General features: G+C 39.9%; 1 long non-coding RNA gene across 1 annotated transcript in view; it reads left to right on the forward strand.

The window, feature by feature from the left end:
* Positions 1 to 2,317: 2,317 nt before the first annotated feature.
* Positions 2,318 to 18,122, forward strand: part of LINC02005 (long intergenic non-protein coding RNA 2005) — a 70,378-nt gene continuing 54,573 nt past the window's right edge. The window contains exons 1-2 of the long non-coding RNA NR_146637.1: positions 2,318 to 2,430; positions 3,136 to 3,184. This is a non-coding gene — a long non-coding RNA (long intergenic non-protein coding RNA 2005). The remainder of the gene's footprint in view (positions 2,431 to 3,135; positions 3,185 to 18,122) is intronic.

Genomic DNA, 18,122 nt, shown 5'->3' on the forward strand with positions numbered 1-18,122 from the left:
GAAGACAGGAAAATGTGGGAAAGTTTGGAGCTTCCTAGAGACTTGTTGAATGGCTTTACCCAAAATGCTGATAGTGGTATGGACAATAAGGTCCAGGCTGAGGTGACCTCAGATGGAGATGAGGAACTTATTGGGAACTGGAGTAAAGGTGACTCTTCTTATGTTTCAGCAAAGAGACTGGAGACATTTTGCTCCTGCCCTAGGGATTTGTGGAACTTTGAACTTGAGAAAGATGATTTAGGGTATCTGGCAGAAGAAATTTCTAAACAGCAAAGCATTCAAGAGGTAACTTGGGTTCTTTTAAAGGCATTCAGTTTTATAAGGGAAGCAGAGCATAAAAGTTTGAAAAATTTGCAGCCTGACTATATGATAGAAAAGAAAAACCCATTTTTTTCTGGGGAGAAATTCAAGCCAATTGCAGAAATGTGCATAAGTAGCCTGGAGCCTAATGTTAATCCCCAAGACCATGGGGAAAATGTCTCCAGGACACATCAGAGACCTTCATGGCAGCAGCTCCCATCACAGGTCCAGAGGCCCAGGAGGAAAAACTGGCTTCGTGGGCTGGGCCCAGGGCCCAGTGCTGTGTGTAGCCTAGGGAGTTGGTGCCCTGTGTCTCAGTTCCTCCAGCCATGGCTGAAAGGGGCCAATGTACAGCTCGGGCTGTGGCTTCAGAGGGTGGAAACCCCAAGCCTTGGCAGCTTCCATATGGTGTTGAGCCTGTGGGTGCACAGAAGTCAAGAATTGAGGTTTAGGAACCTCCACCTAGATTTCAGAAGATGTATGGAAATGCCTGGATGCCCAGGCCAAAGTTTTCTGTAGGGGCAGGGCCCTCATGGAGAACCTCTGCTAGGGCAGTGTGGAAGGGAAATGTGGGGTTGGAGCCCCCACACAGAGTCTCTACTGGGGCACTGCCTAGTGGAGCTGTGAGAAGAGGGCCACCGTCCTCCAGACACCAGAATGGTAGATCCACTAACAGCTTGCAATGTGCGCCTGGAAAAGCCTCAGACGCTCAAGGCCAGACTGTGAAAGCAGCTGGTAGGGAGGCTGTATCCTGCGAAGCCACAGGGGCAGAGCTGCTCAAGAATATGGGAACCCACCTCTTGCATCAGCATGTCCTGGATGTGAGACCTGGAGTCAAAGATCATTTTGGAGCTTTAAAATTTGGCCACCTCACTGGATTTTGGACTTGCATGGGCCCTGTAACCCCTGTTTTGGCAATTTTCTCCCATTTGGAATGGTTATATTTACCCAATACTTGTACCCCCATTATATCTAGGAAGTAAGTAGCTTGCTTTTGATTTTACAGGCTCATAGGCAGAAGAGACTTGCATTGTCTCAGATGAGACTTTGGACTGCGGACTTTTGGGTTAATGCTGAAATGAGTTAAGACTTTGGGGGACTGTTGGGAAGGCATGATTGGTTTTGAAATGTGAGGACATGAGATTTGGAGGGGCCGGGGCAGAGTGATATGGTTTGGCTGTGTCCCCATTCAAATCTCAACTTGAATTGTATCTCCCAGAATTCTCACATGTTGTGGGAGGGACCCAGGGGGACGTAAGTGAATCATGAGGGCCAGTCTTTCCTATGCTATTCTCATGATAGTGAATAAGTCTCACGAGATCTGATGGGTTTATCAGGAGTTTCCACTTTTGCTTCTTCCTCATTCTCTCTTGGTGCCACCATGTAAGAAGTGCCTTTCACTTCCTGCCATGATTCTGAAGTCCCCCCAGCCATGTGGAACTGTAAGTCCAATTAAACCTCTTTTTCTTCCCAGTTTCAGGTATATCTTTATCAGCAACATGAAAATGGACTAATACACGTGTAATTTCTCCTGGCAGGGGAAATGTTAGCTCCAAAAATGTCAGCTTTAGAGTCCCCTCAAAATGTGGCCTAGAGAGGTTAATACATTTCTCAGAGAGATAAAATAATCAGCTGAAGATTTCAGGGCTGGTAAGTTGGCGTACTAGCTCAAAAGCCCACATTCTCTTCCTGGTTCCTGGTTCCATACAGCTGTTCAAATCAGGTTGGGCTGGGTGCATACAGTGGCTCCTTAGACTCCTTCAGGTTTCCCCAATCACTGGGAATTTTAGGGACTCATTCAGGAATTTCCCCAACGTGCTTTAGAGCAAAAAGATAAACGCCAAGCCTAGCCAGTTTCTGCCGGCTTTGGAATAAAGAGCTGTGGTGAAAGGCTGCATTCTAATCTCCCACATGGGGGCTGTGCCATACTGTTCCTACGCACCGAGTGGATTTGCATTTTGAACGAATCTGCTGGCCAAAGATCACTTTAATTTTTCATCTGCCTTTTGCGGGCAACTTTCCACTCTCCTGTGCTGACTGAAACGAAGTATGACACCAGTCTTGCCCAGGCAAGCTGCTTCTTGTGAATAGGAAGTGAACAACCCTGGATTCCAGGCCAGGGGGAGAGAGGTGAGAGGTGAGGTCAGCACATCTGGTTTCTGCCCTCAGACTTCTTTACAGATGAGGGAAAGGTGCGTGCTTTAAAAGGACAGTTAAGCGGGCCCCAACAGAGCCCAAGAGATCTCGGCTGTCCCCTACCTGGGGGATGTCAGGCTTCTTCAGCATCAAGCTGGAAGAGGCTCCCAGGACTGGTGTGGAAGGACAGAGCAGTTTTCCCATGTGATGGGGAACTTGTTTCAGAGGTGTCAAGAGATCCACACTAAACCTGGTGCTGTAAACTCTAGCTGGTTCTCAACTGAAGTTTTTGGGGGATGGGGAAGAAGGGTGATTTCTAGGATAGAGGAAATATGCTGTTGGTTGAATATAGGATTGTACTTCTCTGGATATGTCTTGGAAAATTTCCTTAGGTTTTGGAAGCCTCAGAACCCTCCAGAGTTTCAATTTCAGAGGCTAAGACTTAGAGGGTCCCAACAAGAAATATAAACAGTACGGTCTGCTGGTGATAAAAACAATGGCGGTAGTGAGGAGAGGAGGATATTGAGGGAAATGTTTCTTCTTGGCTCATGATAGTTCCTTTCTGTGAAAGGGTGCAATTGACAGAAACAGTGGGGGCTTCACCTGTGGCATCACTGTCTCTACCCTAGCAAGGAGGAGGGACTTATCTGGTTGGAAAATTTCAGAAGAAAAACTAGCTCCTCCTTTTTGTCCTCTCAGATATGAACTCATCAGCAGAAATGTGAGTTCTTCCCAGCTTCTCCGTGCTGTAAGTCTTATGTGGCACCACTGCCTGGGTTGGTTGTGTTAACCTACCTGCCAGAGGGTGGCGGGTGGGAGTATCTGAAGCCATTGAATCCTGCAAATACAAACCACAGCTTCCATCCTAGTCTTTATCTGTCATACAGGTTAGAGTTGCACTTTCCAATCTGCAACTCTTATGTCTTGTTTCTCTGTGAAGAATGCGGGTGTGGATGGGCATATTTATTGTGTCCCTGTGATAATTTTATGTGTCAACTTGGTGAGGGTATGGCACCTAGTTGTTTCATCAAATGCCAGTCTACATGTTGCTATGAAAATATTTTAGATGTGATTAACATTTAAATCAGTTGACTTTAAGTAGAGCATATTTGTGTCCACAATGTGGGTGGGCCTCATTCAATCAGTTGAAAGCTTTCAGAGCAAAGACTGAGATTTCCCAAGAAAGCAGCAATTCTGACTCAAGACTGCAACATACAAACCCTGCCCGAGTTGCCAGCCTACAGACTCAAGACTGCAACACCAACACAACTGAATTTCCAGCCTGCTAGCTTGCCCTACGGATGTAGACTGGTTAGCCCCCACAGTTGCATAAACTAATTCCTTGAACTAAGTCTCTCTCTCATATATGTCTCCTAATGGTTCTGTTTCTCAGAAGAACTCTGGCTTATACAGTCCCTCATGATCCCAGCACATAATGACTAATAACCGTGGCTGATATCATTGAGTCCTCATTTACTCCTCACAATTACTTACAAGGTAGGCAATAGCATTCCTTCCATTTTAAAGATGGGGGAACTTAGATGTGAAACAGTTAAGTAACTTGCTCAATGCTGTGAAACAAGTGGAGATGCAGCATTTGAATTCAAATTTTCCTGAAACCATAACTGATGTGTTTAACTATTATACCACACAGCCTCCAAACCAGAAAAGGAAGTCCTACTCAAAGTTATGATATAGTGCATAGTTAAGTGCATAGAAAGTCTTTGTCTGTTAGTCTTATGCTGAGTGTCTATATTTTGAGTGCCTCTCTGTTTCAGTGCTGGATGAAATAATTACATGTTAAAGCTGATAGTAATAACCCAATGGTTACTTCTCTGGCCAGCCTCATTGGTGCTTCAGCGCTTAGCTTGGGATGTGATCTATGGTTCTGAGTGTCCTTTTTGTATTTGTTACTCTAATATTTAGCATAATCAACAACTCCCAATGATGGCTATAGGGAGCACACATACAGCAAGGATAGTGGCATGAAGAAATAAAAGAATCATCACTGATAAAATTCACCTTTGAGGATTTATTCATACATTAATCTATCTCTTCATGCATTTATCTGATAGTCAACCAGAAAGGTTTATTGAGAAGTTATTCTGTGCATGTATTTTTATTTCATTCATTCATTTAATCAGAAATGAAATTCTTATTACATACTCTGCCTTGCTAGGTGGATTCTCCCAAATTCACCCTCATTTTCACACCCTGCCTTCAACTTCTCTCCCGCCTACCTCTTGGAAATGTACCTAACTTGTTTCTATTCCTTCAGAGCCCTGCTCTATATTTTCCATGACGATATTTAATTTGATAAACTAATACAGAGAAATGGATTAATGGAACTGAATGGCATAACGGTTAACACATACTCACTGTAAGTGAGATTTCCTAAAAGCACATCATCTTGATGCAGAAGCAATAACTTTTATGATGGATGCTTTAGGCAATATATTATGGGTAGTTTTGGTCTGATGAGGCTTCCCGGTGACATGTTGAGGGTAGCACTACCATTTTGTGAGAAGCCAGCAATGTGTCCTCTTGCATGACATTTTACTTGTTCATAGGATGGTTTTGCCATAAAATAAAAAGAACCAAATAAGCATTTGCATTAAGCAACTATTTATGTAAGATAAGGACAATGATCGAAAGAGGCCAACAGACTTCAAAGTGTCTCCTCTCTGGTTTCATAAAAATATTACTTTACTCGTGTGACAGAGACTGAAGCTGCCTAATCAATAGCCATATTCCTGAACCAACATTTTGGTTAGGATGTAATTCCCACCAATATTTTGGCTAGGATGTCTAGCTAAAATACTACATTTTCCACTCTCCATGTATATAGCTAGTAGGGTGTTTCTTTTAGGAAGGTTCTACAAATAATGCTGACTCAGCTAAGAGGTGTTTGCCTTTTGTTTTTCCCTCTTGTTCCTGCCCGGAAAGCAGACATAAAGGCTGTAGCTTCAGCAGCCATTTTGGAACATGAAGCAACGTTAAGAATTGAAGACACATAATAGTATTGTAGAGTGTAAAGATAGGGAGAGTTTGGGTCCTTGGTGAGTAGGGAATTATTCCCTCCATATTGGACTATCTATGTCCAGAATTCTTTGATGTAAAGAAGATATACATTTCTGCCTCATTTCAACTACTTCAATTTTTATTTCCATGTATGTGTTCTATGCACCTGAATCTAATGGCAATTAACACATCCCCCAAGTTTATCATTAAAATCTATGAACTATATTATTCCAGTGATAATGTTTCATTAATGGAGCCAGTCTGGTATCTTGAGTTTATTCACAGCTAACTGTTCTGCCTGGTTCGTGTGAATGGAAAAGAAGTTTCTGTACATTTTGAGTCACGGCTCCACGTCTCTTCTTTTGAACATGTATCCTTCATTTTCTTTGTTGTCTTATTATTGCTACTCATGGACTGTTCAACGTACTTTTTTAAAATTATTATTATACTTTAAGTTTTAGGGTACATGTGCACAATGTGCAGGTTAGTTACATATGTATACATGTGCCATGCTGGTGTGCTGCACCCACTAACTCGTCATTTAGCATTAGGTATATCTCCTAATGCTATCCCTCCCCCCTCCCCCCACCCCACAATGTACTTTTAAAGAAGTTACCGTCCAGATAATGTAACTTTCACTTTAAGTGAAAAGCTGCTCACTCATTCTCTTCCTTCCTCTTCCTCCCCCTGTCTCCCCAGCTCCCAAATTTGAGTAAAATTATGCCCAGTGTAATTTATTGTGATTTTCCCCCTTCTTCTAAACAATATCTGTGTTAGAGAATTGAACACCTGTAAAACATTTGTTATTCTCACTTGTCCTAATCAGGAATTCAATAAAAAGGCATTCTGAAATCTTGGAAATACTGAGGTTTTTCTGAACTTAAACTGATCTGTTAAACCAGTTAGTTGAGCAAGGCCGGAAGAGCCCTCAGGAAAAATCATGAAAACGAAATTAAATCGAACACAAAAAGCAATTTGCCAGCGGTGAATTTAATTCACAATTTGCCTCCTCTGGAGAAGAGTATTCAGCCTTGGCCACATGCCAATGAGAGCTCCATGCGATAATCTATAGGATTGCACAGTTCCTCTTAGGACAGTAATGAAAGGAAAAATAACATTTGTTCTGCCAAAGTATGTGGACTTGCTGACATTTGCTGAAATACAGATATCATCTGAGTGAACAGGATGTTTTCCTGAAGGTGCTTTGGAGAGCCAGTAGTTTACACATCTTTTCCACACATACATAAGGCAGCTTGAATTTCTGGTAATTGTGAGGGCTTGACCCTTGCAACTATTTCCAATATACCCCTGGTGGCTTTTGGACTTTGTCAAGATCATCTGATGATATACACAACCTGGTGAGAAACTTGCCTTTGTGATTTTCAGTAATGTTTGTCTATTTCTCCCGACTCCTCGTTGGAATGATGATTTAAGGGAGATAGAATCTGGAATTACTGGTGGGGAGGGGAGTTAGCAGACTTTAAATCAAGTGTACCTGTCATTTAAATTGCTTGATTCTAGATTGAACAAAGGAAACATGCTGGGAAAGTCTGGGGGAAAATATGCTACATTTTATATTCTCTGATGGAGCAAATGGGGGGAGATTTTAAAAGGATGGAGATTAACACCTATTCACATTGGATACTTTCATGGCAGAAGGCTCCAGGGATGGATTTGTAGAAGGCGAAATACATGAAACTTGACAGCTAATGGCAAGTCTGAATAGTCTTGCCTAGATGATATGCTGTATTTCAGGTATTTCTGGGCATTTCATTGTTGGGAGAGTCAGATCTAAAGTAGGCTTTGAGGGATGAAAAGGAGATGGTTTCCAGCTAAGAATACAGTAGACGTTGAATATAATTAAGGTGAAACAGAGATGAGTGGTACTAAACATATGATAAAAGCATCTCAGGATGAAATATGATGAATCACTCAGAAGCAGAGAATATGAGCAGAGATGGACAAATTATTCAGTAACACAGTCAATAAGGACTTGGCCAACAGGCATCAAAATATTAGAGGGTCAAAAAATAATCTTAAGGAATTAGAATATGTGTTTTGGTAATATCTATTCCATATATTTTAGGGATAGATACATGGGTGTGTATGTATTCCATTACGCATGTGGGAAATTATGACTGACAATACAACTGCAGGAGTTTTCATGTAAAGATAGATTAGATTTGATAGCTTCAAATTCATTTTTAATAATTGTTTTATTCATTAATAAATAGAAGGACCCAATTTAGACTCCTTATTTTTAGTATTACAGGGAAAACAGTAGCCCTCTCTAATATGGCAACAAGTGTTTAAAGATCGTGTATAGCTGGGGGTGGGGTCAGTTGTAGGGAAAGAAATGATAAGTAATTGAAAATATTGTGCTAGAAAGGGCCTTTGATATTACAATGATGTAAAGTCTGAAGAGTTAAACTGGAATGTAGCAGTCACACAGCCAAGTCTGAGTGGGTAGTTTGGTTAGTGCAGTTGCCATTGAATCCAATCTAATAGTCATCAAATGAAGTCCAATTCAGATTGATGAATACAAGTATGATGCTTACTGTGTACCACGTACTGTGCTAGTTGTTGTGAAGTCAAAACTGAATGTTAGAGCACCTGTTTCTAAGAAACTTAGAGTCCACTGAAGGCACAGGGAAGACATGGAAGATGTTATAAATAGTAAACTGTGGAAAGTGACAGGGCAGAATGTATGTAAGGAGACATATACATTTGTAGAACATGTACGAGGTACAGAAATAACATCATAAGAGAACAGTAACATTGTCTTGTGAGTATGACTTTTCTTAGGTTGAGGGAGTGAAGAAAATGGGAAATTTTAGGAAAGAATTTCCACCTGAGCTTTTTAAACATGAAAAGGAGCAAGTCAGAGACATTCAAGGATGGTGATATGGTTTGGCTGTGTCCCTACCCAAATCTCATGTTGAATTGTAGCTCCAATAATTCCCACATGTCATGGGAGGGACCCAGTGGCAGGTAATTGAATAATGGAGGCGGGTCTTTCCTGTGCTGTTCTTATGATTGTGAATAAGTCTCATGGGATCTGATGGTTTTATAAAGAGGAGTTCCCCCTGCACAAGCTCTCTTGCTTGCTGCCATGTAAGATGTGCCTATGTTCCTCCTTTGCCCTCCACCATGATCGTGAGGGTTCCCCAGCCATGCGGAACTGTGAGTCCATTAAATCTCTTTTCTTTATAAATTACCCAGTCTCAGGTATGTCTTTATTAGCAATGTGAGAATGGACTAACACAGATGGACAGCAGGAAAATAACTGGAGAATACTGATTTAAACATTTGCTTTCTTCAAGGAATGAAAATAGAGCCAGATCATCCATTCATTTCTCTTCCAGATCCAGTATTAAGAATCTAGAATTTCATGGCTCTGATGCCAATTTTGGTTTTGCATATTCATCTTGTTCATTTCGCCATTTTTGATAGAATTGAACTGAAAAATGCATCCGATGCTAAAAGTTTGAAAGAACTTTTGAGATAATCTTTGACTTCCTTATATCATTTATTCATTTACTTTGAAAAATATTATTGAGAATCTACTCTGTTCCGGGCTGTTGGGCACTATTTTAGACACTTAGAATACATCAAGAAAGAAACTGATGTCCTTGCTCTCTTGGAGCTTATGCTTTAAGAGGGAGAGACAGACAATAACTGAAACACATCAGAAATATGTGAATATTACAGTTTGTCAAAAGGCAATAAATGCCAAGGGAAAAAAATTGAGCATGCTATATGTGGGTGGATATATGTCCCAGCTTGCCCAAGGCAGGCTTAGTTTATTTCTGTGGTGCCAGCATAACTATTAGCAGCATCCCCTTTAGCTCTAAAACACATCCTGGTTTACTTTAGATGCTATATAAATTCATAACTGCAGTTAATGGGAATCAGGTGTGTATGTGTGCACATTCCGGGCCCCATACAATAATTGAACATGCTGATCCAGCTAAGTCTCACTGAGGAGGGACTTGAGCAAAGACTTGAAGAAAGTGAGAGAGTGAGCCACACAGGTATCTCAGTGAAGATTGCTCCAGTCGGAGAAGCAGAGGAACAATTAGGGCAAGGTTCTAAAGTTTTAAGGAATGCGGGGCTGGGGGTGTGTAGTTGGGGGTTCATGCAGCTAGAGTGAATTAATGAGGGGCAAGCTGTAGGAGATGAGGTCAGGGAAGGTAGGGGTAGGGAGCAGAGAGTGTAGAACCTTAGGTCATCAGAAGGGAGTTGAGTTTTTCTCCGAGTCTGATGGGAAGGCATTGGGGGTTTCTATATGGCAAGTACATAATCTGACTTTGTTTTAAAAGTATCACTTTGTGGAGTCTATTCTTTGTGAAGTATACACTTTAAGGTGTAAAAGTCAAGGCAGATTTTATAAGTAGGAGGCCCCACAGTACACTAAGCAAGAGATGCTCATGGCTTGGAACAGGGTGGTGGCACTGGAAGAGGTGAGAAGCAGTCAGATTCTGGACATGTTACCAGCCAACAGAATTTCCTGCTGGACAGGATATGAGGGGATGAGCTCCTCATATCTTGCAGCAGTAACAAAAGATTCATTCCAGGACTAGTTCAACAAACAATTTGGTGTTTTGTTTTAACTGAGCACTTCAAAAAGCAGCACTTCTCTCACCTTGCTTCAAAGCCATGCCTCCTGTATTAGTCTGTTTTCATGCCGCTGATAAAGACATACCCAAGACTCGGCAATTTACAAAAGAAAGAAGTTCATTGGATTTACATTTCCACTTGGCGAAGGTGAAAGGCACATCTCACGTGGCGACAGACAAGAGAGCTTATGCAGGGCAACTCCCATTTTTAAAACCATCAGGTCTTGTGAGACTCATTCACTATCATGAGATCAGCACAGGAAAGACCTGCCCCCATAATTTAACTACTTCCCACCAGGTTCCTCCCATGACACGTGGGAATTCAAGATGAGATTTGAGTGGGGACACAGCAAAACCATATCACCTCACTTTTCAAAGCATTGGCAAAATGATGAACCCCATTAAAATTTAGTTGCATACATAGCTGCTTCTGTAAAAATATTTCCAATGTGGATAGTTTTGGTGAATTGCAATGTGGTGTATGTAAGAAAGAGAGCATTTTGCTAAACATGGGACTTTCCAAACAGTAGCAAATAGGTAATGAATGTGTTTAATGATACGTTTACATTTCGACATGTTGGAAAGTGTTGATGGTGGGGCATCCACATAGTAAGTAGAGGCCAGGGTCTGCAGCTCTGCCTGTGTGGCTAACTGTGTGACTCTCATCACATCCCTCGACCCTCTGAGATGAATACCATTTGTTTTAAATGGAGCATTTTATTGTGATTACAGTTCTATGTTTTTGTGTTTACTGTGCTTTCAGCTCTGACATTCTGTGACTCTGAGCACCTTAGGGGAACAAAGCTACAGATAGACATTTAGGATCTTGAGCTCTCATAGCACTTTGTGAGATTGTTATGGTTATCTCAATCCTCTTATTTGCATATTCTTGCAAATTGCAGTCTAGGACTGATATCTTTTCTAACAACGCGTTATTCCCATGGGCCATAATTTAGAGAGGCCCTTATCATGCTGATTAAGAAGACAGGCATATTTTTAAATTGGATAAAATAGTGCCTTCATCTTAGGAATATTGTGTCATTGTATAAAAAATAAGAGTGATAATTAGTAACAATTATTATAACCAATGTTTGAAAATTTACTATGAGTAAGGTATCTTACGTGGAATCTTTTATTTAATTCTAAGCACAAAACAAACAAGACCCTATGGGTAGGTACTCTTCATATTCATTTTAGAGATAAGAAAGCAGAGCCAGAGAACTGAATACCTTTCCCAAAGTAAGAAAATTTGCGAGTGGCAGTGTTAGGATTTGAACCCAGGCAGTTGGCCTCCAGACCATGCACCATCCCAACCACCCTACTTTAATCCTGTCAGTGCACAGAGAGGGTTAGCCCAGCATCTGACAATAGTGAGAACTCAACAAATGGAAACTATTGTGATGCCATGTATTATTGCAGTGAAAATTCAATACCTGCTGGGTAACCAGTGAATCTGTGAATCATCTACACTGAGGCACTGAGGTGATAATTGAAATCAGGAAGAAATGAGCTCATGCAGGGGAGAGGGCAGAGAAGGGTTGAGGACTGAAATTTGGAGGATGAATAACCATATACCCTAATGCACGCTTGGATGATGTTCAACCTTGAAGTGACTATTCTTATAACCTGCAGCAGAAACAAATGTTTCCTTCCAGGTCTGGTTGAGTGACTCTTGGATTTTGGTTCTAACTCTTTAAAACTGTTTCTCCGACTCTGCTTCAAAGCTATGTCTTCCCTTTCAAAACATTTGCAAAATAATAAATCCTATGTCCAAAGAGTCTATTGAAGTTTAGTTGCAAACATAACGACTTCTGTCTGGTAAAGATTAACAATGTTTCTGATATGGATAGTTCTGATTAATTGCTGTTGAAACTCCTGAGCTGAATGTCAAAGCTGGAAAATGAACTCTTAAATGCACTCAAAAGACAAGAGCCCCGTGTATCCTTGAACATAATCCAATCAAAGAGATTGCAAAGGAAAACACAAGAGACAGTATTAAATTCATGGTGACATGAAAGTTTCTTGTTCCATTTTTGAAAAATCACCAGGTCATTGTTCACAAAGAGACTTTTCTTTGATATTGACCTGCCTGATAAGTAAAAAAAACATCTTTTTAAAACATTATTCTTGACTTCTCTCGTTAAACATGTATTAGTCCTACAAAACTCTGGTTTGCAAATCCTGATGTTCAAAGTCATTTTAAAAGAACTAAGGGGAAAGGAAAACTCAGTCAAGCAAATAGAAGTGCTTAATTGTCTATAATGTGGATTTTTAGATAAGGGGAGTATTAGTTGGTAATGTCCATCAGTGAATTGGCATCCTATCAAGGCCTGGCGTTTGACCTTTTTAGAGCTGTCTCCAAGGAATGACAGGGCACAGGGCATTTCTGCCATATGAGTTTTACTGGATGGTAATATTATATCTAAAAAGCTGGATGGCCTTGGACAAGTCACTTAATATTTCAGTTTTGTTTCATTCTTGAATAAAATGAAGATAACACCACCAGTCTTGCTCACAACGAAGTTGTGTTCAAGTTGAAATGAGGTAATAAATACACATGTAACTGCTTTGTGAACTACAAAGCATGGTGTATGTGTAAGATACCATTATTATTATTTTCATACAGCTTGTCCCTTCTTCCTCTTCTGTTTTGGCTAGCTCCTGATGCCATGGGTAGCAATTTTATGGGAAACATGGGGCAGAGAATTACAGAGGTGATTGATGTCTTGACTCTGGAAGTCAGTTTTAAGCTCATGATTGTTGATTACTAAAAGAGATGCATCTGTGTCCAACACTTTTGGTAAATATCAGCTATAAAATTTTTTCTTTATGATATAGTCCATGTTTTGTCTACTCTATTCATCAACTATGTAGAAAATAAGTTACATGATTTCAGGTGAGAACTCTGCTCTCACACAGTCATAATAAATAAACAGTCATGATAAATAGCTCTTGTGAAAATGAGAAAATATGTCTGCTTCATGTTTACATGGGTAGAATTGGTACATAAAATGGATATTTTATTTAAGTTATTTTTTTTTTTAGTAACAAGATTTCACTATGTTGCCCAGACTGGTCTCAAACTACTGCTCTCAAGTGATCCTACCACCTCTGCCTCTCAAAGTGTTGGGTTTACAGGTGTGAGCCACCACACCTGGCCTAAAATGGGTACTTTAAAATGATATTGATTGATAAAACACATTTAGTTCAAATATATCTCTTAGGAAAAAATATATACATGAAAAACTGTGTCTGTGTGTATATATACATATATATACACATATATATGTATATACACACACACACACACAGTTTTTTATATATATGTATACACCTGTATATATATATACACACATGTATATATACACACACACACGTGTATATATATATACACACACACACGTGTATATATATATACACACACACACATACATGTTATATAGAAACATCAAGTTTAGAAATGAGCAGAAGAATCTATAAGGAAAAAAGACAATGGGAAACAATGTCATGTTGGCCTCAGCCTTAGAGAAGAAGCATTTTAATCACACAATCTCACATGAACTGAAATAATTTCTAAATAACAGTTGAATGATGACATAACAAAAATATAATGGTTAGGAAATATCGCATATGTGGTAGGTCATAGTATTTGTTCAAAATAGTCACTGCTTCTCTCTTCCAGACCCATTCCTCTCAGGCCACCAACAATGGTACCAAGAGATGTGGGGCACTTCTATAAGATACCTGAACATGTGGAAGCAACTTTGGATAACAGGAAGAGGTTAGAATGCTTTGGAGGGCTCAGAAGAAGAAAGGAGGATGTGGGAAAGTTTGGAACTCCCTAGAGACCTGTTGAATAGTTTTGACCAAAATCCTGATAGTGATATGGACAATGAAATCCAGGCAGAGGTGGTCTCAGATCAAAATGAGGAACTTACTGGGAGCTGTAGTAAAGGTCACTCTTGCTATGCTTTAGCAAAAAGACTGGTGGCATTTTGCTTCTTCCCCACAGATCCCTAGAGATCTGTGGAACTTTGAACTTGAGAGAGATGATTCAGGGTATCTGGTAGAAGAAATTTCTAAGCAGCAAAGCATTTGATCTGTGACCTCTCTGTTTCCAAAAGCATATAGTCATATGTGTTTACAAAAAGATGGTCTGAAATGGGAACTTCTGTTTAAAAGGGAAACAGAACATAAAAGTATGGAAAATTTGCAGCCTGACCATGTGGTAGAAAAGAAAAACCCATTTCTCCCATTTTCTGAGGAGAAATTCAAGCCAGCTGCAGAAATTTGCATAAGTAAAGAGAAGACAAATGTTAATGGCCAAGACAACAGGGAAAATGTCTCCAGGATATGTCAGAGATTTTCAAGGGAGCTCTCCCTATCACAGGCTTAAAGCCTAGGAGGGAAAAGGGTTTTGTGGGCCCTGCTGCTCTGTGCAGCCTCAGGACATGGCATCCTGTGTCCCAGCTGCTCTAGTTCCAGCCATGGCTAAAAGGGGCCAAGGTAGCTGTTGAGCCATTGCTTCAGAGGGTGTAAGCCCCAAGCCTTCAAGGCTTTCACGTGGTATTGGGCCTGTGGGTGTGCAGAAGGCAAGAGTTGAGCTTTGGGAGCCTCTGCCTAGATTTCAGAGAATGTGTGGAAATTCCTGGATGTCCAGGTAGAAGTCTACTGCAGGGGCAAAGCCCTCATGGAAAACCTCTACTAGGGCAATGCAGAGATTCCCAACTGTGTGGGGTTGGAGAACCCACACAGAGTCCCCACTGGGGCACTGCCTTGTGGAGCTATGAGAAGAGGGCCACCATCCTCTAGACCCCGGAATGGTAGATTCACTGGCAGCTTGTGTCGTGTGCTTGGAAAAGCCACAGGCAATCAATGAAAGCCAACCCATGAAAGCAGTCATGGGAGCTGTACGCTGCAGAGCCACAGGGGCAGATTTGCCCAAGGTCTTGGGAGCCCACCTCTTGCATCAGCATGACCTGGATGTGAGATATGGTGTCAAAGGAGATCATTTTGAAGCTTTAAGATGTAATGACTGCCCTGCTGGGTTTTGGACTTGCATGGGGCCTTTAGCACCTTTGTTTTAGCAAATTTCTCCCATTTGGAATGGGAACATTTACCCAATGCCTGTACCCCCATCTTATCTTGGAAGTAACTAACTGGTTCTTTATTTTCCAGGATCATATGCAGAAGGGACTTGCCTTGTCACAGATGAGACTTTGGACTTAGACTTTTGGGTTAATGATGGAATGAGTTAAGACTTTGAGGAACGGTTAGGAAGGCATGACTGTGTTTTGGAATGCGAGAAGGACATGAGATTTGGGAGGGGCCAGTGGTGGAATGATATGGTTTGGCGCTGTGTCCTCACCCAAATCTCATCTCAGATTGTAATCCCCACATATTGAGGGAGGGACCTGGTGGGAAGTGATTGGATCATGAGGGCAGTTTCCCCCAAGCTGTTCTCATGATAGTGAGTGAGTTCTCACAAGATCTGATTGTTTAAAAGTGTGGCACTTTTCACCTCACTCTCTCTGTCTCCTGCCACCATGTAAGACATGCCTTGCTTCCCCCTCACATTCTGCCATGATTGTAAGTTTCCTGAGGCCTCCCTAGCCACAAGGAACTGTGTGAATCACTTAAACCTCTTTCCTTTATAAATTACCCAGTCTTGTGTAGTTCTTTATAGCAGTGTGAAAACGAACTAATACACCACCCCATATGGCTTGACCCTGCTGGAGAACAATACTTAACATTTTGGATATCAGTCTTGGCCATGGGAGTTGCTTCTGCAATGAAAGGTGAGTAGAAGTGACCTGTGCATTTTGGAGCAGAAACTTTAAGTTATGGCCTTGTTCGGTAATCTCTCTTACCCTTTTGCTACTCCTTCTGCTAGGATCAGAAATGAAGACAACTTGAAGGAGAGCTAATGTTGACTTCCATTGTCATGTTACACGAGCGAGAAATAAGCCTTTATTTTTTTGAACCACTAAGATTTCAGGGTTGTTATTGCAGCATAAACAAAAGAGACCTAACTAATACAGTGTGTTTATTTTATTCTGTTTTCCTCTTTCCTGTTTCATCTATAATCAACACTTAAAAATGGATACTGAGAGGAAAGTTTGGCCAGAAGATTATCATAGTATCGATGCCTCTGACCATGAAGTTTATAGCTGAGTGTCTGGAAAAGAGGAATGCTCTTTTTCATGTTCAGCATAAAAATACTCATCTACCAGGCTGGGATGAATGCAGGCCATGAGGTGGGTAATGGATTAGGAACTGTGACTACATACTTTGGCAGAAAGAAATACAATATTTTATTAGCTATGGTGACCTCTGTGGTCTGTTTACAGTTTGATTCTGCTATTTCTGTTGGCTTTCTTTTTTGAAAGGACTATTCTATTTTTTTTCTCTCCTATTGGCCTTGAATTGTACATTTGTTTGTAATCCTTTCTATGGTTACCCTGGATTTCAATGTGTATCCTTGATTTGTGACAGTTTATCTTAGATTAGTACTTTTATCACTTCCCAAACGAAGCAAAAAATTTAAGAGAACTTAACTCTATCCTCCTTCTGCCCACTGAGTTATGAATGCCACTTATTTTATCAGACTTTATAATCTACACAAGACACTAGTAGGATTAATATTATAACAGTAAATATTCTTTGACTCTTTTTCTAATTTTTTATCTGTATGTTGCTCTTCCTTCCTCACTACCATTTCATGCTTCCATCTGGAATTATTTCCTTTAGCCAAAGAACTTCCATTTATAATATCTGGAAATAGAAGTCTGCTGGTAATGAATTCTCAGTGCTTTTGTCTCAATTTTATACCAATATCTGAAGGATACTTTTCTTGGAGACAGAATTCTAGCATGATTTTTTCCCTTCAGTACTTAGAAGCTACCATTCTGTTTTCTTCTAGATTTCATAGTTTCTGTTAAAAATTCAGCTCTCAGACTTATTGCTTCTCCTTTTAAAATAGTGAGTCTTTTTTCTCTGGATGCTTTTAAGATTTTCCATTTTCTTTTGCTTTTCAAGAGTTTGAAAATAGTGTATCCAGCCATGGTTTTCCTTATTTATCCTACATGGATATCATTGAGCTCACAGAATCTGTGAGTTGATATCTTTAGTATAAGGACAGTATAAACATTTTGCAACTGTCTCTGAGATTAAAGTCCCCATGCAAATAATACATCAGTCTCAAAATTTGAGAGTTATAAAACAAAATGATAAATGGAACTTTAATAAAACATTTAAAATTTTGCTCTTTAAAGGACACCCTGACAAAATAAAAAGAGAAGCCCCAAACTCAGATAGAGTATATATAGTAATATATATATATAAAATATGTTACTACATATATGTGTGTGTGTGTGTAACATACATATTTTTATAGTTTCTGCTGAAAATTCAGCTCTTAGACTTATTATTTCTCCTTTGAAAATACAGTCTTTTTTCTCTGGATGCCTTTAAGATTTTCTAATTTCTTTTGCTTTCTATTTTTCATGTGTGTGTGTATATGTGTGTGTGTGTATACACACACTACATATATAAAATACATCTGGCAAAAGATTTTTGTCCAATGTATATAAAGAATTACAACTAAATGTTAAGAAGACAAATAACCCAACTTACAGAAACAAGGAAAGGGGAGAACATGGAAAAGTTATCAGTATCCTAATTTATTATCAAAAATGCAAGTTAAAACTGCAATTAGATATGTCTACATGTCCACCCGAATGACAAAAATTAAAGTTTAACACTACAAAATTTGGTAATTATTTTGAGTTACTTGAATTCTCATACATAATTAGAGTACAAAGTAGTACTACCACTTTAGAAAAAGTTTTGATAGTTTCTTCTAGATATAAACTTAAAATACTCGAGGATGGATGTGAATAATCATTAAAGTATAATACAAATCCAACATGTAATCCTTATATAGGTCATGTATCTCATTTATTCATTCATCTGTGCATGGATGTTTGGGTTGTTTGTGGTTTGGGGCCTTTATGTTTCAAGCTGTGATGGACATTCATTTTTGTT

Source organism: Homo sapiens, chromosome 3 (genome assembly GCF_000001405.40).
Source record: "Homo sapiens chromosome 3, GRCh38.p14 Primary Assembly".
Classification (NCBI taxonomy): Eukaryota; Metazoa; Chordata; class Mammalia; order Primates; family Hominidae; genus Homo; species Homo sapiens.